The 27,847-nt window shown below is 36.4% G+C and overlaps 1 protein-coding gene across 21 annotated transcripts in view; it reads left to right on the forward strand.

Moving 5' to 3' along the window:
- Positions 1-27,847, forward strand: part of AGBL3 (AGBL carboxypeptidase 3) — a 149,271-nt gene that overhangs the window by 11,083 nt on the left and 110,341 nt on the right. For 14 of the 21 annotated variants that reach the window (NR_144293.1, NR_160300.1, NM_178563.4 and 11 more), the window contains one exon: positions 19,462-19,569. Coding sequence is in view for 17 of the 21 variants with exons in the window: in NM_178563.4 (NP_848658.3) it covers positions 19,462-19,569 (108 nt within the window). In the remaining 4 variants the exon portion in view is untranslated. Of the gene's footprint in view, positions 1-12,306; positions 12,363-12,451; positions 14,922-19,461; positions 19,570-27,847 lie in introns of those variants that run through there. The other 7 variants (NR_160298.1, NR_160297.1, NM_001367813.1 and 4 more) reach the window with 2 other exon arrangements.

Here is a 27,847-nt window from a genome sequence, read left to right on the forward strand (position 1 = left end):
CAAAATTGATACTGTGTGTCCAAGGCCTCTACCACCACCACCACCACAATAAATCAATTGTTAGCATAAACTACTATCTGACATAGCCCAAGGTCCCAGGTAGACAAAGATACTCTTAATGAGGCAAGGTATTCCAAGGCATCAGAGGCTATCTCCCAAGAGTTTAGCAAGGTCCAAACCTTTACAATGTGCAAGGTTTGGACAACCAAGGCCTGCTGAGTTAATCATTTACACACAGGCTACCCACTGTCCCTTGGCCTAGGCTCTCTTTAACAAAGAGCCTAGTTTGTAACTAGTATAATTATCTCCTATTTTAATATTCTGCTATTTATACATTTTAACAAACTTGTACATAAATATTCAGCATAGAAATTAACTCATAATTAAGTAGATCCAGTTCTTACTCAGCCCATTTTTCATTGATATTACATACCAAGGAGGCCGTGATTCAATTTTCCAATACATTTGATCATCATCATATGACTGACTTACCTAAGGGAGAGGAATCATACCAGCAATACCAATGTTATACTGTATCTGCAGTATTGTAGTAGATGTAACCTGAAAAATAAGAATCAAAAGATAATGGCTCATTACCTCTGTCATTAACAATTAATTGGTCCAGTTCATCATTATATCTTATGACCAGAATGTCTCCCAGAGCAATGCCACTCAAGTTTGCAGGCTTCCATTCAACCTTTTCAGCTTCTAAGAGTAAGGCTAGTCTTAGAAAACTGACTTTACCTTTTTGGGCATCTAGGATAATTAAGCTAAGAGACTACAGTCTCTTGCTCTGAGCCTCTCTCAAAACACCAGTGTAATACTAGATTTTCCTCATTACCTATTTCATTTATTTATTCCTGTGCCTTGGCTATTTCTCCTATTTTTCACTTGTCATAATTTTTTACCCAAACGTTTTCACCTTTGGAAGAGTTGTTAGGCTTAGCCACTGTCCTGGTCTAGATTGCCAGCAGTAATACCAGTCTAGCTCGTGCTTCCTTTCAGCTCATTCCCTTTTATTTAGAGTAAGGATATATAGGTACAGAACTAGTGGGCTATCTTGACCACCAGGAAATACAGCTGCATTCACTATCAATCTGAATTTTGCCAGGTGGGGTGAAGACACAGTCCACCCCGTTAGGCCCATAGCAATTCCGACATAAAGGTTGAAAGGTAAGTTTCTTGCTTAAGAATGATTCCTGTTTCTAGCACCTGCAGTCTCCAACCACTGCCCCAGGCTGGAAAAAAAAAGAAAAGTTGAGGTGACTGGAGAAATCATTTTGTAGTTTGTACCAGTGTCCTCCTCTATCCCTTCTCCAGATCCACCATAAAAGAATTTGTCAAGTGGGGACCCACTCTTGTCCCCCTCATGTTGAATGTGCATACACATGAAGGTATATATGTCAGCCCTTCCTGCCTTTATCACCCCCTATTTTAGACAAAAAAAAAAGTTTCAATTACCTTTTCCAATTCTCTAGTAAACCACTAGTCCATTTTGATGTGATATCTTTTTGCCCATCATTAGACACTATGGGCTGTAAAGTGTGTTTCTTGGTCTGAAGAAATATAACTTGATGGTCCAAATTGCCACAGTATCTTCTGTTTCAGTCCTTTTACAGTATTCTAAGCATTTTGTATCCATCTACCTCTGGGGGTGCAAAGCCTAGTCCAGAGTAAATGTCTAGTCCTGTCAGGACCCTTTTATAGTCTCTGGGGGCTACCACAGCATTCCGATGTAGTTACTTGTCAGTTGTGTGTGCCACCTGCTCCCCAGGAAATCTGCCCATAGCCACCTGCGGTCTCCGTCTCTCTTGAAGCATTTATTTGTATTTTGTGCCTCAGAGGGAGTAAGAGAAATATGCCAACAATCAGCCCATGCCTACATTCCTACACCTCTCCCATTTCCATTTATTTCATGGACCCACATGCCCACCTCAAGTAAACACACCAAGTTTTCCACTTACTGGGTCCAGTCATCATCTGATCCTGGAAGAGTGTTCTTCTGGTGGGCACTGACATGTCCTACTTTAATGTGCCCCTAAATTCCATGGTGATTTCCATAGGATGGTGCCCCACATGGGGCATCTAATAGACTAGTTTTTCATCACCCATCTATTTGACCATATGGCCAGCCATTGGCACACCCAAACTTTGATTATTTTTAAATGGAACTTTTATACTTGTTCAGTTTTTTCATCACTGCAAGGACAGCATATAGTTCAGCCTGAGCAGATTGTTCTTACCTTCCTCAATCAGAACTTTTCCATCATCTGATGTAGTACAGTAGTCTTCCAAACAGGATGTTGATTATCCACCTTGGAACTGCCATCAGTCAACCTAGTAGCTCTCTTTCAATAGAGAGCTGTTCATAGGGCACAGCCCAGGTGGCCATAGGATTTGGTGGCTCCTCAGCTGATTTCAAAGTAGGCTCCAGTGGAAAAGAGACCTCCTGCACATGAACAGAATGAGTATCTCCTTGCACTGTCCCAGTAACATTGTCCTGTATAAACCGTTTCCATTTATTATGGAGCCCTTCTGGGCACTGCCTTATTAGAGTGTTTCTTTCACATCACTTAAGGCATTGTGGGCATTTCAGCTTTCACGGTTATATGTCCTTCAGTATAATGGTTAATTTTATGTGTCAGCTTGACTGGGCCACGGGATGCCCAGATAGCTGGTAAAACATTATTTCTGGATGTGCCTCTGAGGGTGTTTCTGGAATAGATTAGCATTTGAATTGGTAGATTCAGTAAAGAAGATCCACCATCACCAATATAAGGAGGTGGGGCATCATCCAATCTATTGAGGGCCTGCTTGAATAGAACAAAAGGATGGAGGAAGGGTGAGAGCTCTCTTCTTGAACTGGGATATTCATCATCTGCCCCAGACATCAGAGCTTCTAGTTCTCAGGCTTTTGGACTTGGACTGGATTACACCACCAGCTTTCCGAGTACTACAGCTTGCACACAGCAGATTGTGAGACTTCTCAGTCTCCATAATTTGTGACAATGTATATACGCATATGTGTATATTCACTGATATAATAAATACACACACACTACTGGTTCTATTTTTTCTGAAGAACCCTGACTAATACATTCAGTCACAGGGGCATTTTCAACTAATGTCCAATAGCAAGTTAGTAATTGGTTCTCAAATGCTGTATATCTTACAGCTGCATCCGAACAATTTCTGGTCCAAATTCCGGCAGTCACTGCTGGATGGTGCTCACAGGCTTTTTCCATAAGCCCCAATCTCTGGCCCATACAGGGCTACTGTAGAGAAAATGTGTCGGTGCCAGCAGCCCAGTTTCTAACACGTCATTGATTAAAGGTGTACTCTATTTTTGTGCACCAGGTATTCTATACTATTTCCAACTAAAATCTGTCGGCTTGGACAATTCTATAGGTTCCCATTTAGCCAGTATACTGGATAAAGGGCAAATTTACATGCCTTCAGTTTTACAATATTAGGTAGGGAAGTGTTCCCCAATCAGATATAAAATCCATCCCAATACATTCAGGTAAAGGAGATACATCCAGTTCACATGAAGTCCATTTAAATATTTCCGTTTTAATCTCAACTTTCACCTTAATTTCATCAACCATTTCATGGCTAAGTCCTCCCAACCTAACTGTAGTCCACATTAGGATATCACCAACAGATTTTGGAACCTCAGTGCATTGGTCTGCCATGTCAAAGAGTCCCAGAAAAGCTTGTTCTCCACCCCCTTTCCATTTTAACCACACGTGCATATAGCCCATGTCCCCAAACAAGGATCAGACTAAAGGACCCTGACCCTTTTCATCAGTCTATCCATATTAGTTTGTGAGACAATTGCCACAGATGATTTGAGGTAACATTTTTTATTGTCCTTTTTGCCTTTCAGCTTTGTTAATTCCTCCAGACTAAGGTAAATAGAACAGATTTGTTTAAAGCTCTTCAAAGTCGGGGTATGCCAGGAGCTCCCATTGGTCTATGTAATCTCCAATAGTGTTTCATTAAGACCTTTGATCCCATCAGTGTCCAACCTGCTGGGATGAGTCCCTTGATTCTTCCTTTTGTCTTTCCCTATTCTTTCATGACTCATGTTATTTTAGCTCTCAGTTTTTTCAGCATGTTATTTGTCCCTTTGTTGGAAACCCTGAAGCTAGTGTCTGTAGCTTGGACCAGCTGAAATTCAAGCTTGGCCCAGTGTCAGGATTTGCCTCAACACTTTACTGTAATTTTAGCTATTACACATAATAACTGAGAGATTGTATGTTTAGCTTGTTTCTTGTCATTTTGCATTTCCTTATGCATCCAGTGAGCCAACTCTTTGGGAGTTAGATTTATCATTTCTAAATTCCAGTGGTGACTTTTACTTCTAGTAACTGATTGCAACACAGCTGCTACTTCACACCATGGGTGGCCCAGTGGCCAAACAGAATCAAAGGTTTGTCAACTCCTACCCTCTTACCCTTCCTTTTCCCAAACCACTCTTTCACCACATTTCAGTGAGTCAGGGTAATTCTAGTGAATCCCACTTCTGATGTCACCTGTGATCAGGAGTCCTGAAGACCACCCCAAGGTTCAATGATTCATTAAAAGGACTCGAGAAATTCAGAAAAACCATGACATTAATGGTTATGGCTTGTTACAGTGAAATGATACAGACTAAAATCAGCTGAATTAATTTAGGGCAGAGTCCAGGAGAGACTAGATGGGGGCTTCCAGTTGTCCTCTCCTGGTGGAGTTTTATAGACAGCACTTACTTCCTCCAGTCATGATGTGAGATAACACTCATGAAGTACTGCTAATCAGGGAAGCTCATCCAGCCTCGGTGTCCAGAGTTTCTATTAGGGACCAGTTATGTCTGTATGGAATGCCCACGTGGCTGGCTTTAGTTATTCAGTCCCCCGCCTCTCCATCCAAAATTAATATAATGTGGCCCAGAGCCCCCCACCACAACTCACATTATTAGCATAAACTATCTGATGTAGCCCAAGGCCCCAAGTAGACAAAGAAACTCTGAACAGGCAGAATATTTCAGGGTCTTAGAGGTTATCTCCCAGGAGTTGGACAAGGTCCAAATCTTTCTTTGGATATACAGGGTTTGGACAACCTAGGCCATCTGAGTGCTGCACAATGAGAGTACCTATTTTCCCATACTCTCATCAATACTGTTAATCACTCATTCTGGTTTTTGACAATCTGATATTGTTTACTTGATATGTGTTTTTTGTTCATGTATTCTTTATGGATGAGATTGGAACATTTTATCTACTGACTTTATATAAGCTACCTGATGAAATCCTTTGCCCATTTTGCTATTGATTAGACTTTTTTTCTTCTCGATCTCTAAGTGCTTTCTGCCTATGCAGGAGATTTGATTACTGTGTCTTATATGTTACATGCTATTTTTCTCAGTTTTTCATTTGCCTTTTTGTCTTTGTCATGCATAAATTTGTAATTTTTATGTAGTTACTTTGTCTATCATTTTTAAATGATTTCTGGGGTTTTGAAATTTTCATACTTCTTAGTAGTGTCCAAGTGTATTTTTTGTGATTAAATTTTTGATCCATCAGGAATCCATTTTGATATAAGAAGTAAACTTCCAATCCAGTCCTATTATTAAATGCCTGGTGAGTTGTTCCAACAAAATTTATTAAATGAATTATCTTTTTCTACCCACTTACAATGCCACATTTATGATATACTAAGCTTTTAGGTCCAATTTTGAATTCTGTTCCATTAATCTGTCTTTTGATATGCCAGCATGAAACTCTATTACTATAGCTTTTAAAGTATAATTCTGTTGTGTGATAAACTTAGTTCCTTACTGTTTTACTGTGTTCAAGATTTTTCTGGCTACGTTTGCCTTATTATGTCTCTATATGGAATCTAAAATAAGCTTTCCTAGTTGTCCTAAAATAAATAAACTGGTAACTTTATTGTGATCACATTAATTTATAGATTAACTTAAGGAAGAGTAACATACTTTTAAAATTGCACCTTCCTGTCCAATAATAAGATTTGTTTCACCATTTATCCTAGTTTTCCTTTATCTCCTTTATTATAGTTTTAATTTTTTTTTTTCTGCACCGTTTCTAAGTTTATTGTTAGGTATTTTATTTTGTTGCTAAAACTAAATATTTTTGTTGTGAGAATAGCAATTTCAAATAGAATATTTACTATTTTATATTTTCTAACTTGTTTACATACAGGAAAGTTATTTTTGTGTGTATTACTTTTGAAAATTGCCATACTTTGTTTCTAATATTTAAATTATTATATATGTTCCAATTATACAGTTATCCTGTATTAATGTAATTATATCTCCTAATTTTCAGTTTTTATACCTTATATTTCTTTTTTGTACTAAATGCATTTACTGGTACTGTCAAAAAATATTTAATAATGTTGCCTTTATCTTATTCTTCATTTTAATGGGACTAGTATTACTGTTTTCTCATTAAGCAAATTATTGGCTTCTGGTTTAAAATAAATTTTTTTGATTCTGCTAAGGAGTTACCAATTTGTTCTTATATTATTAAGAAAACTTTACCAGAAATTATTACTAAACTTTATTAAATGCCTTTTTAACATCTATGGGGTAGAGGGATTATGATATTCTTCTCATTTGACCTATTATGTTGGTGAGTTATATTAGTTTTTTAATATTGAACCAGTTGTATAGTATTGAAATAAAGTGCAGTTAGTCATTGTGGATAATTTTTAGTGGGTTGCTGAATCCTGTTTTCTCATTTTATGCAGGATTTTTGCTTTAATATTCATAAATAAGATAGATTTTTAAAAATTTTCTAGCTCATGTACATTTATCAGGTTTTGGTATAAACGTTATTTAGAATTCTTTGCTTTAGAGCAGTTTCAATAATGTTTTAATTAATGTTCTTTATAATTTCGAGAGAAATCTTCTAAAACTGTGCATATTTTGTTACTGTTTTAGAGAGACAGAGAATATTGTTATTATAAAACTTCTCAGTTTCTTCTTTGTTACATCTAAGTTTCCTATATATTCTGTTCCAGGGACAGTTTTGGTTATTTTCCTAGAAAAATGCTTTTCATGCAGGATTTTAAAATTCATTTAATAAATTTAAGCAAAGCATTCTCCTATAATTGCTAAAATTTCCTTTAAAGATAGGAGATTTTTTTCCTTTGTCCTAATACTTTACATTGTGTTTTTGCATTCTTATTTTTCTCCCCTGAGTATGTTGGTAGGCTTTATCTTGTTAATTTTTTCAAAGAATCAGTGCTTGAAATTATTTATTAGTTCTAGTTTTGTGCTGTATTCTAATAATATAAATTTTTTTTATAAATCGGATTTATTTAGATTTATTTTGTTCTTTATTTAACCTCTTGCTCTGTATTAACTTCTTACTTCCCAGTATTTTATTAAGAATGTTTTCAAATATGCAGAGAAATTGAAAGGATCGTACAGGAACCCATATGGCCATCAACTAGATTCTTACAATCAATAATTTACTATATTGCTTTATCACATATGTAGCCATCTATCCATCCCTCTCTTTATCCAATTAAGTCCTTTTAGTTTTTTATTCATTTAAAAGTAAGTTGCAGATATCCTTACATTTCACCTGTAAATACTTTAGCATTTATATTGTTACCTAGAATTCCTTTTTAGTTTTGAGGTACATTTTACAAAAGATGAAATTCACAACTCTAATTGTATCAATGAATTTTAACAAATTTAACAAATGCATACATTTGTGTAATCTAAACGCATACCACAATATAGAACATTACTGTTATAATTACTTTTTAAAAATTACTTAGGTGTAAATCTAACAAAACATGTATAAGACTTGCATTCTTAAAACTACACAATGTTGATGAAGTAAATAAAAGAAGATCTAAATAAATCAAGAAATATACCATGTTCATGATTAGGACTCAGCTCAATGTGGTAAGATGTCAACTCTCCCCAGTTGACATATAGGTTTCAAGAAATTCCTATCAGGATTTCTTTTTGTAGATGTAGACAAAATTATTCTAAAATTTATATGGAAAGGCTAAAGAACTAAAATAACGTTTTTAAAAAGCAGTTTTGAAAATGAAGCATAAAATGGGATAAAGTAGCCTCTTACCTCAAGCTTTTATATAGCTACAGTAGTCAAAGCTATGTGGTATTAGATTAGTAGAAGAGAATAGAGAACTCAGAAGTAGAACCACACAAATATTCCCAAGTGGTTTTTCATGAAAGTGAAAAAGCAATTTAATGGAAGAAAGTTTGCATTTTCAACAAATATTGCTGGAGAAATTGGATATCCATAGGAAGAAAAGAAAGAGACAAGGGAAAACTTCAACCTAAGTCTAACACCTTATACAAGAATGCATTCAAAATGAATCATAGATTTAAATGTAAAACATACAATTATAAATCTTTTTTAAAATAGAAAATCTTTATGATCTAGAGCTAAGCAAAGAGTTCTTAGAATTGACATCAAAAACATGATTAATAAAAACTTGATAAATTGGACTTCAGAATTAAAAGCTCTTGTTTTGCAAAAGACCCTGTTAAGCAGATGAAAATACAGTGAAGAGGAGGAAAAACAAAGAGCAACATGCTTATGCCAGTTGATTCTATCTCCTTTTATTTTTTTATTTTTATTTTTTTTAAAAAAGCTTTCCCAGAAATTCCACCAGAAGTCATCTTTTACCCCTCATTGACTAGAATTATATTGCATGGCTACTCCTGGCCACAGGCAAGCCTGAAAACTTAAGGTTTTTTAATGGAGGTACATTGCTGCCCTGATAAATTCAGGTTTTAGTAAGGAAGGAACAAAGTTAGAATGAAAATTTGGAGGACAACTAGCAATGTATAGAAAAACTAGCAGTGGAAATTTGGAGGACAACTAGCTGAGTGCAGGGCCTTATACTCCTAAATACTCTTTTGTTCATATAACAGTGGACTAACTTGAACAACTACTTGAATCTGCATATGGAAGTGGCTTATCCTGGCAATTACTTAACAAAGTCACCTATTCTGCCTTATGGAAAATAGTCATCTTTTATATCTGCCACATAAGACAAAATAAAGTGGCTCCTCAGCACAACTTTGGAAGTGTTGTGAAATCTTATGGAGGAATACTTAGATTTGGATACCCTTGCAAAGAAGTTATGTGAAATTTTGTGGCATGTGATTTAAATGCAGAACAAACTGTCTGCTATAGTTGCAAACAGTTTAAAGGCTTGAATATTACCAACTTGTGATGATGTATGTAACTGTCCTGATAATCTTGTGCTAGAAGACTAAGAGGATGTAATTATCAATTAGATGAGAACCAGATACAGAATAAAAAGGAATTAAATAACTAAGATGAAATGGACACATGACTGGCAAGATATGAAGTACGGAAACTGACTCAAGAGGAAATAGAACATCTAAATAGACATATAACAAGTAAAGAGATTTAATTAATAATAGAAAAACTACTACAGAGAGTCGCTTAAACCCAAATAGCTTCATTGCTGAATTCTTCCAAACATTTAATGTTTAGAACATTCTACCAAACAATTCCTAATTCTTCAAAAACTCTTCCAATAATAGAAGAGGAAGGAATGCTTCCCCATTCATCGCTATGAGGCCAGTATTACTCTGATAACAAAACCACAAAAGACATCACAAGAAAACTACAGGCTAATATATATTATGAATATAGATGTAAAATTCATCAGCAAAATACTAGCAAACTAAATCCAGCAACAAATAAAAAGAATATGTATCATGAACAAGTGGAATCTATCCAGATATGTTGTTTGTTCCCTGTACCCAAAAATCAATTAATGTGATAGAACATATCAGTAGAATTAAAAAGAAACAAGATAATTTCAATAAACATAGAAAAGACATTTTTAAGAAATCCTACACCCTTTCATGACAAAAACACTCACCAAATTAGGAAGAGAAAGGAAAGGCGTCTATGGAAATCCCACAGCTAATATCTACTTAATGGTGAAAAGACTAGATGCTTTCCCCATAAGGTCAAGAACAAGACAAAGATACCCACTTTTCCACTTTTATACGACATTGTAATGGAGGTTCTAGCCAGGGTAATTAGACAGAAAGAGAAGTTTAAAAAGTCCAGATTGGAAAGAAGGAAGTAAAACTATACTTGCCAATAAAATAATTTTGTACATAGAAAATCCTAAGCAATCCACTGAAAAAAACTTTTAGAACTAATATGAGTTCGGCAAGGTTGCAGAATACAAGAGTAATATATAAAAATCAATTGTATTTCTATGCACTTATAATAAACAACCCTAAAATGAACTTATGAAAACTATTCAATTTGCAAAAGAATAAAATATGAATACATTTAGGTAAAGAGTACAAGACATACTCTGACAACTACAAAACATTACTGAAAGAAAATAAAGATCTAGATAAATAGACATCCCATGTTTATGGATCAAAAGACTTACTATTATTACGATGACAGTCCTCTCCAAATGAATCTACAGATTGAATGCAATTTCCATTAGAATACCAGTGGGTTGCTTTGTAGAAATTGACAGACTGATACTAAAATTTATATAGAAACTCAAGGAACCCAGAATGGCCAAAAAAAAGAAAAAAAAACTTAAGAACATATTTGAGAGCTCACAATTTCTGATTTCAAAACTTACTACAAATAGTAATTTAGACAGTGTGGTACTGTCATGAGGATAGACTTATAGACCAGTGAATTACATTGGAAGTCCAGAAATAAGCCCATGTGTCTGTGGTGAACTGATTTTTGACAAGGATGGCAAGACTATTCAATAGGAAGAGCATTGTCTTTTCAACAAATGGCACCCAGACAACTGGATAGATAACCACATGCAAAATAAAGAAGTTTGTCCCTTACCTCACACCATATACAAAAATTGATTCAAAATGGATCAAGATCTAACTAACAGCCTGAACTATAAAACCCTTACAAGGAAACATAGAGGCAAATCTTCATGACTTTGGATTTGGCAATGGATTCTTAGGTATAATGCCAGAAGCACAAGCAACAACTGAAAAAAAAAAAAATAGATGAATTGAACTTTATCAAAATTGAAACTTCTGTGTTTCAACAGAAACTGTCAAGAAAATGAAAATAAAACCCACAGAACAAGAGAAAATATTTGAAAATTATTTATCTGACAAAGGACTTCTATCTAGACTATATAAAGAACTCTTACAACTCAATATTAAAAAGACAAATTTTAAAGTGTGCAAAGGATCTAAATAAACATTTCTCCAAAGTAGATGAACAAATGGTCAATAAACACATGAAAATATGTTCAACATCTTTAGTCATAGGGAACTGCAAATTAATACCACAATAAGATACCTCTTTACCCCCACTAGGATGACTAGAATCAAAAAGTCAGATAACAAGTGCTGACAAGCATGTGGAGAGATTGGAACCCTTATACACTGCTGTTGGGAATGTAAAATTGTGCAGCTACTTTGGAAACCTGGTGTTTCTTCAGAAAGTTAAACATTGAGTTACTATTTGACCCAGCAGTTCCACTTGTAGGTATGTACCCAAGAGAAATGAAAACATATATCCAAACAAAAACTTACATACAAACGTTAACGGCAGCATTTTTCTTAGTGCCACATGGTGGAAACAACCCAAATGTCCATCAATGGATGAATGGAAAAACAAAATATGGTATTTCCACACAATAGAATATTAATTAGCCATAAAAATGGAATGAGGTACTGATACATGGTACAACATGGATGAACTTTGAAAACATTATGCTGAGTGATAGAAGCCAGACACAAAAGAACAAATAATATGATTCTAATTATGTGAAATGACTAGAACAGGCAACTATATAGACAAAATAGCACATATGCCTACATCTCACTCAAGGTTAGTGTGGTAGTGTTGGGATTTTTTTTGATTGTTTTTTTCTCTTCCCTTTCCCCAGATGCAATGGTTTTCTACTAATGTCTTATTATAGATTAAGTATTTTGTTCCATAAAGGGAGATGCATAGATGGGTCTGGGTGGAGTTTGGCAGAGGCTGCTGTTCCCCTCCCCAACACAACACCACAAGAATAACTTTCCCAGGATTCTCTTTGATCTTCCTTGTGAGCACCTGGTGGGATTCCCAGAGGAAAAGTCTGAAAGTGGGTACTAACCCACTTATATCTGCAGCCCCAAGGGGCTTCACACTCACATTTGGCTTTTAAAAATTTATTTTAAAAGCTTTAGCTGTGCCTTTTTACCAGATTATATGAAGTTCAGCAGCATCTGCCTTCAGTGGGCAACTACTGAGGTCCAATTTCACCTTGCAGGTTTCTGTCTTTTCGCAGACTTTGGAGCATTTGGTTGCCCTGCAACCTCTTCTATGGTGGGTTGGCGAAAAGTCATTAATTTGCAGTTTGTTATTTTATTTTTTGTTGTAAGGGTGAGGATGACACTTTTTTTTTTTTTTTTAAGATGGAGTCTCATGCTGGAGTGAGTCTCACCAGGCTGGAGCGCAGTGGTGCGATCTCGGCTCACTGCAACCTCCACCTCCCAGGTTCAAGCGATTCGCCTGCTTCAGCCTCCTGAGTAGCAGAGACTACAGGCGCGTGCCACCACGCTCAGCTAATTTTGTATTTTTAGTAGAGACGGGGTTTCACCATGTTGGCCAGGATGGTCTCCGTCTCTTGACCTCGTGATCCGCCTGCCTCAGCTTCCCAAAGTGCTGGGTTTTTTTTTGTTGTTTTTTTTTTTTTAACATTCTGTATCTCTTAGCTGACATTGGAAATCTGACCTGTAATTTTCAAAAGTGTCAAAGTCATGAAATATAAGGAAAGACTGAAAAGCTGTTCTATATCGAAGAAAACTAAAATACACATTAAAGTTCAATGCAATGTGTGATTCTAAAGTGGATCCTTTTGCTATAGAGGACATTATTTATACAACTGTCAAAATTTTAAGTCTAAGGATTAAATATTAGAAATAAATCAGTATTAATGTCCTGATCTTGATGGTTGTATTATGGTTATTTATATAGGAGGATTTCCTTCACTGGAGGAAATATAAGTATTTGGAGAGGATGGGGTATTATGTTTGCAAATATTTCAGGGAAAAAAAGTTGTTTTTCCTGTTATTGCAACTTTTCTGTATGTTTTCAACTGTTTCAAATAAAATTAAAAACCACATGCCTAGGAATAAATCTGATAGACAAGATTTCTATGAAGAAGCAATAAAGCATTGAGAGAGATTTTTAAAAGACCTAAGTAAATAGAGGGAAATAGCATGTTCATAGATTGGGAGACTCATTATTTTAAAGATGTCAGTTATCTCCAAACTGATCTACATGTCCCATGCAATACCAGTCAAAATCCCAATTGTGATTTTTTTATAGAAATTGACAAGGTACTTTAAAAATGCATATGGAAATGCCAACGACCTCTTAAAAGGACAAAAAAATTGTAAGAGTTACTAGCTCTTAAACCTTAATAAAGTTATAGTAATATATGGCATTGCTGAAAGGAAACAGGAATGGAATAGAACAGAGAGCTTAGAAACAGACCTATGCATATATGGTCATTATGACAAAGGTGGAACTGCAAGAGAAAGTTAAAGATGGTCTTTTCAGTAAATAATACTGGAATAATTGGATTTCCATATGGAAAAAGTGAAATCTCACCCCAACCTTATGCACAAAAGTCCATTTTAAATGGGTTATGGATATAAAAATGAAAGGTAAAACAATAAGACTTCTAGAAAATAATACAAGAAAATATCTTCATAATATTAAAATCTGGAAAGGCTTAAACAGAACAGAAAATACCCTAAACCATAAAGAAAAAGACTGATAAATTTGACTACGATACAATTAAAAACCTCAGTTCATCAAAAAATAAAACGAGGCAAACAATAGTTTGGGAGAATATATTAATATTTGCAATACATAACTGACAAATAGATCATTTCTGGAATACATAAAGCATTTCTGAAAGTAATAAGAAAAGACAAACAACCCAGTAGGAAAATGGGCAAGAGACTTGAATGGGCACTTAATAAAAAATGATATTCACATGGCCAATAAACATATGAGATAATATCAACCTTATCATGAAGTCTTGTTGTGATTTTAATTTGCTATTCCCTGATTGTTAATGAGGCTGAGTTCTGTTTCACAGAAACCTTGCAAGGTTAAATTTAACTTATACTAAGGAATGGTGAGCATATGGAGCAAACAGAAACTTTGTGACCTGCTGGTGGGTGTGTAAATTGGTATAATCATTTTGGATGATAGCTTGGCGTTATTTACTGAAATTGATACATGCCCTGCAACCTAGAATTTTTACTCCCAGTTGTATACCTAAAACTGATGTGAGCACAGGTGCTCTAAGCAATATGTATAAAGCTGTTCATAGCACCATTTTTCTTAATAGCCCCAAACTGAAACAGCCCAAATGTCCATTATAAATAGAAATTGATAAATTGTAACATTTTGTACAATATTATATATCAATGAAATAAGCAAATTACAGCAGTATGCCACAATGTGGATTGATTTCATGAATATACGTGAAAAACAGCACAGAAGAATACCATACACTATGTGATTTTAATTTTATAAAGTTCAAATATAGGCAAAGCAAAGCAATAGTTTTATTTACACTTCTGTAGATAAAAACTGTATTATACACATGCATATATATGAATGCTTAGGTGGTAAAATTATAAAGGAGAGTAAAGAAATGACTGCATTATATTAAGACTAATGGCTACTTTTCAAAGGGAGGGAGAGGCTGGTGATGGGAAAGGGGCATGAGTGGAGTATGTAAGGTGCTTGCAATGTAATATTTCTTGGCCTATGTGGTGTTTGCTTTGTGATAAATCAGTAAGCTGTAGTTCTTTGTTTTTGCACTTTTCATAAGTATAATACCTAATAAACATTTAAATATTTGCTTTGTTTTTGGCCCTGTGAAATGTGGATAGAAGTATGTTTGGGTAGATTTTTTTAATGGGCACAATTGACAAAAAGATGAATACATCAGTGGAACAGAGTAAAATGTCCAGAAATAGACCAACGTGTTTATTACCAAATGACCTTTGACAAAGGCACCAAAGAAACCCAATGAGGGTAAGGAAAGTCTTTTCAGTAAGTGGTGTTGTAACAACTTAGCATACATGTAGAAAAAAAAATCCTTGACCTCTACCTCACTAGTAAACAAAAATTAATTCAAGACAGATCATAGACCTAAACGAAGCTATATATAACCTAACATTATAAAGCTCATAGAAGAAAACATGGAACGATATCTCTGTAGTTATAGATAAGGCAACAATTCCTTAGGAGCCAGAAAGAAAAAAGAAACAATGAAAAATTAATAAAGTTGACTTCATCAAAATTTAAAATTTCTCATTAAGAGACAGTTAAAAATGAAAAGGAAAGCCACAGTCTATAAAAAATATTCCCAACACATATATGACAAAAGACTTGTATGCAGAATATATGAAGAATTCCTACAAACCAATAATCAAAACCTAATTTTAAAATGGACAAAAGACTCGAACAGACATTTCTCAAAGAATTATAATAATCAATAATCATATGAAAACATTTTTCAACATGGGAAATGAAAATCTGAACCACAATGAGATACCACTTTACATCTACCAGGATGGCAAAAAATTTAAAAGACTGACAACCAAATATTAGAAAGTAGAGCAACTGGAACTCTAATACATTGTTGGTGGGAATGTAAAATTGCATAATCACTTTGTAAAAAGGTTTGACAGTTTTGTTTCTTAATAAAGGAAAATATACATGTATTCCCTGACCAGCAGTTTATCTCTTAGGTAAATAAAGACATAACTATTATGTCCACTAATGGTCAAATTGTGGCAATCCATATTAGAGAACAGTATACAGATGTTAAAAAATGATAAAGATCTATGTATATTAAACATCTCTAAGATGTTTAGTGAAGTGGGTGGGAAAAACAAATTGGTGATCAGTATATATAGAATGATGCCGTATACTTGAAGAAGACATTGTGGTTGACTCATTGTAGTTGATTCCACTGTATTTGATTAAGTCAGTTAGTACAAGACACTTCCGCTGACAGTCATGTTGTTTTACATTTTACAATGGTAAGCCTTAGGATGAGGATGACAAAGTGGAGAGACATAAAAAAGTGAGCTCTGGATGACCACTGAGTCACTGATTATACCATCCCTCGAATCCACTCTACTTCTGGGTTTCTAAATAAGTGAAATAATATATTTTCTTAGCATATGCCAAAAGCATCTGAACTGGATGGTTGAAAGCGAGAAAGCCTAAAAAGATAAAAACCAAAATGTTGGCCGGGCGCAGTGGCTCATGTCTGTAATCCTAGCACTTTGGGAGGCCAAGGCGGGTGGATTGCCTGAGCTCAGGAGTTCGAGACCAGCCTGGGCAACACGGTGGAACTCCATCTCTACTAAAATACAAAAAAATTAGCTGGGCATGGTGGCATGCGCCTGTAGTCCCAGCTACTTGGGAGGCTGAGGCAGGAGAATTGCTTGAACCTGGGAAGTGGAGGTTGCAGTGAGCTGAGATCATGCCACTGCACTCCAGCCTGGGAAACAGAGCGAGACTCTGTCTCTGAAAAAAAAAAAAAAAAAAAAAAAAAAAAAACCCGAAATGTTGATACCTATTTCTGCATAATGAGATTGTGGATTTTTTTCTTTTTGCTTAAGCTATACTTTTAACTTTTACACAATAAACAAGTCTGATAAAAATAATTACTTATAAAAAGCATTCCAAGTTAAACACCTTTAATTCAGAAGGTGTTTTCTGGGATTTTCTATGGCTCCTGGATATCCCTTTTATAAGATCATTTGCATATACCATATCTCAGTGATCAAAAAGTGGGATCACCCAAAGATAAATCTGAGAACAGATAACAAGAAGTCTCACAGTAGCCAAGTGAAAAAAGATACACAAAATGGAATATCCTTACCAACTACTTAGGCTTTTACATCTGCTATACTGATGGTTAGGACCTGAAGGAGTCTTCTTTTGCATAGAAGTTTATTTTTTTTTCTTTTTCCTTGGAAGAAAATGAAACATATGGTGAAGGGCTGAAGGCATGGTGTTGTCTCAGCCTGTCCTAAGGCCTATGGAGAAAGGAGCTGAAGGCCAAAGCAAAAACCTTCACAAGGTGATCCATGAGACATAATGGCACAAACAGCACTGATTTGGTGCTCACATGACATGGTAACTGCTAAGCACAGACTCCATTCTTCTGGGAACATGACTTTGACTAAAGGAGGACTCAAGAGAATGCAGTGTTTTTTCACAGCTCGAGTTTGCAGCTTTGAGAGAACTAGGAAACATATTTGCTATGCACAGACATCTGAGTTATCTTGGGACAATGATAGCCAACACTTTCAAATAGTTTTTTGAACAGCAGACATCAACAAGGATAGTAGGAGATTGTGATAATGGAAAGATGAATATAGAATTTTCCAGGCTACTTGACATAAAGATAGCTGCAAAATCTATCACTGAATAACAAGTCAAGAAGAAGTGCCTATATCAGGAATCCATGTTGATGTTTAAGTCCATTACAGATGAAATTGCTTACTATAGAATACTCAGAAAATCTTGAAATGCTTAATTTCAAGCCAAAATCTTCTACTTAAACAACGCTTGCTCGAGAGTAGCTTTTTTGCAATGACGATATTGCCAGACATAAAACGTTTATGCAGTAGACGTATATTACATTATTTACATTTAAGGAATATGTGGATAAAAACTTTGCATTGTTCAACCATCCATTCATTCATCTCTCCATATGTCCATTCATCTGTCTGTCCATTTAATCTATGGACATCTAACTGAATGCTCACCCTGTTTCAAATACAACGTAAAGAACAATTTTAGTGGAACAGTGGATATGGGTATCAGAAGTGGGTTACATCTGATTCTCAAAACATGGCTCTCAGTAAGGGTACTCTAATAAACTGCAAACTTGTCGCTTATATACAAGTTCTTTCTCCAGTTATAATGATAGGGTTTCATGGTTCTTTACTAGTTATTAATAAATAAAGAAGAGCATAAGCAGAAATTAATAAAATCTCTGTTTTCTTAACTGAGAAGTCTGGATTTCGTGCAACTTTTGAAGATCAGCATACACAGGCCGGGCATGGTGGCTCACGCCTGTAATCCCAGCACTTTGGGAGGCCGTGGCAGGTGGATCACGAGGTCAGGAAATCAAGACCATCCTGGCTAACACGGTGAAACCCCGTCTCTACTAAAAATACAAAAAAAAGAAAAAAAAAAAAAATTAGCCGGGCGTGGTGGCAGGCGTCTGTAGTCCCAGCTACTCGGGAGGCTGAGGCAGGAGAATGGCGTGAACCCGGGAGGCGGAGCTTGCAGTGAGCTGAGATCACGCCACTGCACTCCAGCCTGGGCGACAGAGCGACACTCCATCTCAAAAAAAAAAAAAAAAAAAAGAAAAGAAAAAAAAAATCAGCATACACCAAGGCAAATAGCTGAAATTCCTAATGTTTTCAGAATGGGAGCTATTTTATTAGTTCATTAATTTTGACTTAAGTTGGTTAAGACTTTCAACTAATGAGATTTTTAAATAAAACATTTAAATTTTTAATTATAATTTGCTTATCTTTATTATCAATTTATTTGGTCATGTGTGATTCATTTAACTCTACAATACAGTGATACACATTTGCATCAATATGGTAGACTGTGTTTCTTCTGTAGCTAGATTTGATCCCTATTGATAATGTCAAATACACTTCTGTTGTTAAAGCAGATGTACACATAATCTCCAAAATGTTTGTCCAGTAATACTTGTTTGTCATCAAATTCTTCGTTCATTAAAAAAAAAAATACAAATAACTAGGGTAGTTAGGCTGTGATGTCATTTTTCCCCCATCAAATAGGTCATGGTCAGAAAGACCTGAGAATAGTGCAGATGATGTTTAAGAAATTTGATCCTAAAAAGAAAGAAAGCTGATAGCTAAAGGAGAAGTGGCAGGGGTAGGGGGACATCTAAGACTATCTTTCCTTTTGGGAGATAAACCTGAACATGTTTATAAGATTTATCTTGACAGCCATTATCAAGCAAAGAAGCTGAAGGGAAAGGAAGAATAAAAGGTAGAGTAAGATTTCCCAGAGGTGAGACAGAATGGTATCAAGGGCTCAGGAGAAAGAGAATTGTGTTATAAAATAGGTATAAAATCAGTAACGAGCAAAAAGCAAGCATGAAACTACTCAATATAATAATTCAGAAGAAGATATGAATGAAATGTCATAAGTTGTATTACAGTGTGACAATATTCATTATTCCAATGAACCCTTAGTAAAATCTTACCCCACACAAAACACTACATTTTAGCCTAGATCTATCAATGAATAATTTGAAAATATGCAATAAAATTTTTCTGTTTTATTTTGAAGTCATCTTCAAATAATGTTTCACTTTTTTTTCCAGATTGGACTCCTTCTTGTCCTGAGCCAGTGTATATCCCAACGGGCTTAGAAACGGAACCCCTTTATCCAGACTCCAAGGAAGCTACTGTGGTTTATCTAGCTGAAGATGGTGAGCACATAATGACACATGTTGCTGTAAAATATAATTTGGTACTTAGGTTAATCTCTTAATTATATTTGTTTTGCTGTTTGTAGTGGAAATTTCAGATGACCAGTCCCTAAACATAAAGATGTTTGTTTATATATTGATCCAAGTGTTGATTTAGAGCCAGTTATATTTTTGAAGGTGTATTGCAGTTTATGCAAAGTTACTTTAAAATTAAACATCATGTTGGCCATTAGAATGAAGAGTTATATTTAGAATGAATTTTGCTTCATATCAATTTTGAAAGATAAACCCAGTGAAATGCTTTGCAATTATTGTTCCCTCTCCATGTATGGCTCACATTCATGCATTCGTTCAGATGTTTTTCTTTTAATTTCCTGACTCTGATGCATTTCTTGGCGTTATAATCTTTAAAAGAGAAACAACTGCCCCACTTTGCAAAAAATCAAACATAGAAGTCTCAGAGTATACTCTCAACTATACTGCTCCTGAAGCACCAGCATAAGGAAGTATAGACTCCACATAATTTCACCATCACAGTTTAATGTCTTAGAGTGTTTTCGTATATTAAAGATAACTTCCAGGGAGCATATGTATTTTATTTAAGGAACTAGCAAGACAAAGAGAAATTCACAGAGGCTGCTCCCTGTACAGTAAGCAATTCTAGAAATCATATACTCACAAACAACTCACAAAAATATACTCACAATATTTTTAAACAAATGGAGAGGAATACCTATGATTTTTCCAATTTGATTGTGAATATTTACATGGTGAACCTGCCTCAGAACTGCCATACATAACTGAAATGAGATCTGATTTAGAAAAAACTAAAATAATTGAGATGAATCAGTCAGGGTCTTCTCAGGAATTAGATAGCATACTCAGAGTAATTTAATAAAGTTTAATTAAATTTAATTTAATGAATTTTAAAAAGGGTAGACAGAGTTAATTGAGATTAACAAGGGATGGTGAAGCAACATAGGACTATCAACAGAGGAGAACCATGTCTGCTGGGCCTGAAAGGGTGAGAAGACAGAACTGGTCTCCAGACCTGTAGAATCCTTTAGGTATAGGAGAGGGCAGCCTCGAAACAACTGTAGCTTTTAGTAAAGAAATAGACAACTGCCAACCTGTGGCACCGAAGGGAAAATGCTAGGAGGATAAATAAACCAATTTCACTATCCTCCCAACTTCCCATGTTCTACAAGTGCCTCCCATTGTCCACAGCCAAAGGGCAAGGGAACCTCTGGGGCAGTCAATACAGATCAGCCTCTTTGGAAACGTATAATGTGGAGAAGAGTAGAGGATAGATCTGTAGGTAGAAACAGAATATCCATCTCAATCAACCCCACTTAATCTTATTTTTATGCCATACTTGGGAGTTGTGAAGATCTGCCTTTCCATGAGTTGAAAGGAAAGCTATAGAAACAAGGTTTGAGGATGAAAAAAAGTCTTGACTTACTTGATTTTCATTGAACGTGTGAAAGATTAATTGTAAATATTTACCTTTTTCCATTTTTACAAATGACAAAAAAGAAGAGTAGAAAAGACAAATTTCAGTAGGTAAGATGTAATTTAAATGTCAATGAAAATTAAAATGTTCATATAAAGTTAAAACCCTAGGACAGGGTACTGAAGAATGTGTCATACTGTGAGACATGGTTAGTTTTTATTTTGAATAAATTGAGGTAAAATGTAGACAGAATGAAATGTATAGATCATAAGTACACAATTTGGTGAGTTTTGAAAAATATATCATCTGTGTAACCAACACTCCTATCAAGATATGGAATACTTCCATCACCCCAGAAAGTTCCCATCTCTCCCCTTCTGGTCAGTCCGCAGCTCCAGCCCCAGGCAAACACTGGTCTGATTTCTGTCACCATAGATTAGTTTTGCCTGATTTTTAGCTTCATATAAATTCAGTCATACAGTAAGTACACTGTTATGTCTGAATTCTTTGACTTGGGATTATGTTTTCAGATTTATACATGTTAGCAGACTCTTTTATATTGCCAAATGGTACTCCATCATATAACTATACCACACTTTGTCTTTTTATGATATGTGTTCAAGATGTAAATGCTGTGTCATATATATATGATATAGTGAAATCTTCACTTTCATCTGTGGAAATCCTTTTCATTTTCATAACAATATCTTTTGATGAGTAGAACTTTTAAACTTCTATGAAGTCAATTACCAATTGTTTTTCTTTCAAATTTAGTGCATTTTGCATCCTGCCTACTTATAAACTTTGCTTTTCCCAAGATCACCTATTTTTTTCAAGAAACTTTATTCTTTTCACTTTTTTATCTTTGTCTTTGATTCATCTAGAATCATTTTTTTGTGAATGGTTTGTGATATGGGTCAAGGTTCATTTTTTCCCACCTTTTAACAAAATTGATTAATCACCAGCTATTGAAAAGACTATCCTCGCATTGCCAAGTCAATCTTAAGCAAAAAGAACAAAGCTGGAGGCATCACGCTACCTGACTTCAAACTATACTACAAGGCTACAGTAACCAAAACAGCACGGTACTGGTACCAAAACAGAGATATAGACCAATGGAACAGAACAGAGCCCTCAGAAATAATACCACACATCTACAACCATCTGATCTTTGACAAACCTGACAAAAACAAGAAATGGGGAAAGGATTCCCTATTTAACAAATGGTGCTGGGAAAACTGGCCATAAGTAGAAAGCTGAAACTGGATCCATTCCTTACACATTATACAAAAATTAATTTAAGATGGATTAAAGACTTAAATGTTAGACCTAAAACCATAAAAACCCTAGAAGAAAACCTAGGCAATACCATTCAGGACATAGGCATGGGCAAGGATTTCATGTCTAAAACACCAAAAGCAATGGCAACAAAAGCCAAAATTGACAAATGGGATCTAATTAAACTAAAGAGCTTCTGTACAGCAAAAGAAACCACCATCAGAGTGAACAGACAACCTACAGAATGGGAGAAAATTTTTGCAATCTACTCATCGGACAAACAGCTAATATCCAGAATCTACAAAGAACTCAAACAAATTTACAAGAAAAAAACAACCCCATCAACAAGTGGGTGAAGGATATGAACAGACACTTCTCAAAAGGAGACATTTATGCAGCCAACAGACACATGAAAAAGTGCTCATCATCACTGGCCATCAGAGAAATGCAAATCAAAACCACAATGAGATACCATCTCACACAAGTTAGAATGGCGATCATTAAAAAGTCAGGAAACAAAGGGTGCTGGAGAGGATGTGGAGAAATAGGAACACTTTTACACTGTTGGTGGGACTGTAAACTAGTTCAACCATTGTGGAAGACAGTGTGGTGATTCCTCAGGGATCTAGAACTAGAAATACCATTTGACCCAGCGATCCCGTTACTGGGTATATACCCAAAGGATTGTAAGTCATGCTGTTATAAAGATACATGCACACATATGTTTATTGCGGCACTATTCACAATAGCAAAGTCTTGGAACCAACCCAAATGTCCATCAATGATAGACTGGATTAAGAAACTGTGGCACATGTACACCACAGAATACTATGCGGCCATAAAAAATGATGAGTTCATGTCCCTTGTAGGGACATGGATTAAGCTGGAAACCATCATTCTGAGCAAAGTATCGCAAGGCCAAAAAACCAAACACCGCATGTTCTCACTCCTAGGTGGGAATTGAACAATGAGAACACTTGGACACAGGAAGGGGAACATCACACACTGGGGCCTGTTGTGGAGTGGGGGAGGGGGGAGGGATAGCATTAGGAGATATACCTAATGTAAATGACGAGTTAATGGGTGCAGCACACCAACATGGCACATGTATACATATGTAACAAACCTGCACGTTATGCACATGTACCCTAGAACTTAAATAATAAAAAAAAAAAAAGACTATCCTATGACCTATTGAATTGCCCAGCCACCTTTATTAAATGTCAGTTAACAATATATATGTAGGTCTATTTCTAGACACTTCATTCTGTTCCATTGATGTATTGATAGTTATGCCAGTACCACCATATTGATATTGTAGCTTTATCCATGGCAATCTACTTTGATATTCAATCTTGTTATTAGCATTTGTATAGTGCATATATATTTTTCCATCATTTTACTTTTTTTTTTTTTTTTGAGACAGAGTCTCGCTCTGTTACCCAGGCTGGAGTGCAGTGGCGCTATCTCGGCTCACTGCAAGCTCCACCTCCCAGGTTCATGCCATTCTCCTGCCTCAGCCTCCCGAGTAGCTGGGACTACAGGCGCCCACCACCACGCCTGGCTAATTTTTTTGTATTTTTAGTAGAGACGGGGTTTCACCGTGTTAGCCAGGATGGTCTCGATCTCCTGACCTTGTGATCCGCCCGCCTCAGCCTCCCAAAGTGCTGGGATTACAGGCGTGAGCCACCACGCCCGGCCCTACTTTTAACCTATGTTTTATTTTAATTTTTTTTAATTTTGGAAGATACACAGCATATCATTGGGATTTGCTTTTTTTTTTTTACCTTCTGGCATACATGTGCAGAATGTGCAGGTTTGTTACACAGGTATCTGTGTGCCATGGTAGTTTGCTGGACCTATCAACCTGTCACCTAGGTTTTAAGCTCCATGTACATTAGCTGTTTGTCCTGATGCTCTCCCTCCCCTTGCCTTTGCCCTGAGAGGCCCCGGTATGTGTTGTTCCTCTCCCTGTGTCCATGTATTCTCATTGTTCAGCTCCCACTTATGAGTGAAAACATGTGGCGTTTGGTTTTCTGTTCCTGTATTAGTCTGCTGAGGATGATGGCATCTAGCTTCATCCATGTCCCTGCAAAGGACATGATCTCATTCCTTTTTGTGGCTGCATAGTAGTCCATGGTGTATTTGTACCATATTTTATTTATCCAGTCTATCATTGATGGACATTTGGGTTGGTTCCATGTCTTTGCCATTGTGAATAGTGATGCAATCAACATACATGTGCACGTATCTTTACAATGGAATGATTTATATTCCTTTGGGTATATACCCAGTAATAGGATTGCTGGGTCAAATGGTATTTCTGGTTCTAGATCCTTGAGGAATCGCCACACTTTATTCCACAATGGTTGAACTAATTTACATTCCCACCAACAATGTAAACGTGTTTCTATTCTCCGCAGCCTCACCAGCATCTGTTGTTTCTTGACTTTTTAATAATCGCCATTCTGACTGGTGTGAGATGGTATCTCATTGTGGTTTTGATTTGTATTTCTCTAATGACCAGTGATGATGAGCTTTTCTTCATATGTTTGTTGGCCACATACGTCTTCTTTTGAGAAATGTCTGTTCATATCCTTTGCTCACTTTTGGATGGGTTTTTTTTTTCTCATAAATTTGTTTTACGTTCTTGTAAATTCTGGATATTAGACGTTTGTTAGATGGGTAAATAGCAAAAATTTTCTCCCATTCTGTAGGTTGCCTGTTTGCTCTTATGATAGTTTCCTTTGCTATGCAGATGCTCTTCAGTTTAATTAGATCCCATTTCTCAATTTTAGCTTTTGTTGCAATTGCTTTTGCTCATTTCATTATAAAATCTTTGCCCATGCCTATGTTCTTAATGGTATTGCCTAGGTTTTCTTCTAGAGTTTTTATGGTTGGATTTGCTTTTTATATAAACTGAAAATCTGTCTTTTAATTATTATGTTTAATATATAATTATTGTTGTTGGATTAATAGCTACCATCTTACTAGCTTTGCTTTATTCCATCTGTTATTTCTTTTTAATTCTTTGTCTGCCTTCATTGACATTAATTTGACTATATTTTATTATTCCATTTTATCTCCACTATTGGCTTATCATGTATATCTGTTTTTAAATTTTTGCCCTAGGTTTTTTTGTATGTATCTTTAATTTAGAAGACTATCTTCAAATAATGTTATACCACTTCACATATAGTGTGAGCACCTTACAAAAGTATATTCTCAATTCCTGCTTCCCTTTCTTTGTGTTATGGTTTTCAAATGTTTTACTTTTTCATGTGCTATAGAAACTCAATGAAGGAGGAGACAAGATGGCTGACTAGACAGTCAGGAAGCACCACTCCCACTGAGAGAGACCAAAATATCAAGTATATCAACATACTTTGAACAGATCCTCAGAGAGAAAACACTAAGGGTTGATAGAGAGGTGATGCAGACACCAAGGTTGAAGAGAAAGCTAGGAACCCTGCATGGGGTTGCTGAATGCCGGGGCTAGTTCCTACCCCTGAACAGTCCTAGGGAAGAGGCAAGTGAAGGGATGGTGGGACAGCCTACTTTTGCTGCAGATTACTGGGATCCTAGCTACAAGAGATTTCATGACCCCCACAGATATTTGAACTGTCAGGGGAATCTGCCTAGAGAGTAGGCAGAGACAGAGCTTTCGCCTGCATGGAGCCCAGGGGATTTTGCACATGGGGCAGCTGAAGCAGAACACAGCCATAGGTGCCCATCTTCTAATATAAGGCCCCCTATGTTCCTCTGAGTCACTGTAACCCCAGCTGACTACAGGGTCAAGAGAGAGCAGGGCTGACTATCCTATCCCATCCTGTGGGACTGGGGCATGTCTGTTCTTCAGGCCCTCCTGCCCGCTAGCCCTTCCCAAGGCCCCTGCCTAGCTGCTCCTGCAGGAGCATGTGCACAGCACAGCCTCCTCTGCCCAACCTGGGTGCTTTGCTGGTGGCCCCATCTGAATACTTCCCAGTGGCCTAGGAGCACTTCACATCCCCCAGCACACCCAGTGCTCAACCCCAAGGGGCCAGATGGAGGCACAGGCCAGTTACAATGTCCCAGGGCTTTGGCATGCAGCTTGTGAGTGCTGAGTGTAGATCTGTGACCAGCACTTGAGCGGGAGGAGCCCCCATTCTGAGAACATTGAGAGAGGTGAGACATGCAAGCTCATGGGCCAACAAAGGAACAGGGCACACCTCCCTCTACATGACCGTCTGGGAAGGGTGTGGTGTGCCTGGGAGCCCCACAACCTGGAACACCTAACAACAAAAAAACACAAGTGGCACCAGTGATTGGAGGGGACTCCTACAAGGCCCAGAGCGGGCCTGGTGATGGGGGTCATCTTTCCACCTGCCCACCATAGAGTGCTGCTGCAGGTGTGCTGCAATACAAAAGAGCCCTATGGCTAAGAGCTTCTCTGCTGGCCATTACTCTCAAGCACCATCTGTGGTTTGTAGCACAAATTACAATACCAAAAACATTCTGCCCAATATACATTCATTGCCTGTAAAACCCAGGGCAAGAATCTATCCACAAATAATACCCTGTACAGAGCTTTGGCCTTCTGAAAACACCCAGAAATGAAGCCAACTGACTATACTCAACTTAAACCACAATTAAAAGAACACCAGCCTTCTCAGATGAGAAAGAATCAGCACAAGAACTCAGATAATTCGAAAAGTCTGAGTGTCCCTTTACCTCCAAATGAGCACACTAGCTCTCCAGCAATGGTTCTTAACCAGATTGAAATGACTGAAATGAGAGACACAGGATTCAGAATCTGGATGGCAAGGAATCTTATCGAGATTCAGGAGAAAGTTGAAACCCAATCTAGGAATCCAGTAAAATGATCCAAGAGCTGAAAGATGTAATAGCCATTTTAAGAAAAAACCAAACTGAACTGCTGGAATTGAAAAATTCACTACAAGAATTACATAATACAGTTAGAATCATTAACAGCAGACTAGACCAAGCTGAAGAAAACCCTCAGAGCTTGAATAAACTCATACAAAAATACAGAAGAAATAATTTTTTTAATGAACAAAACCTTTGAGAAATATGAGATTATGTAAAGATTCCAAACCTATGACCCATTGGCATTCCTGAGAGGGAAGGAGAGAGAGTAAGCAACTTGGAAAATGTATTTTAGGATATAGTTCACAAAAATTTCCCCAATCTCACTAAGGAGGTTAACATGAAAATTCAAGAAATACAGAGAACCCCTGCAAGATATTATACAAGATGACCATCCTCATGGTACATAGTCAGCAGAATCATCAAAGTCAACATGAAAGAAAAAATCTTAAAGGCAGCGAGAGAGAAGGGTGAAGTCATGTACAAAGGGAACCCCATCCAGCTAGCCGTGAACCTTTCAGCAGAAACCTTACAAGCCAGAAGGGGGCCTATTTTCAGCATCCCTAAAGAAAGAATTCTAATCAAGAATTTCATATCCCATCAAACTAAGCTTCCACAAGTGAAGGAGAAATAAAATCCTTCTCAAACAAGTAAGTGCTAAGGGAAGTTGTTATCACTAGA

Source organism: Homo sapiens, chromosome 7 (genome assembly GCF_000001405.40).
Source record: "Homo sapiens chromosome 7, GRCh38.p14 Primary Assembly".
NCBI lineage: Eukaryota > Metazoa > Chordata > Mammalia > Primates > Hominidae > Homo > Homo sapiens.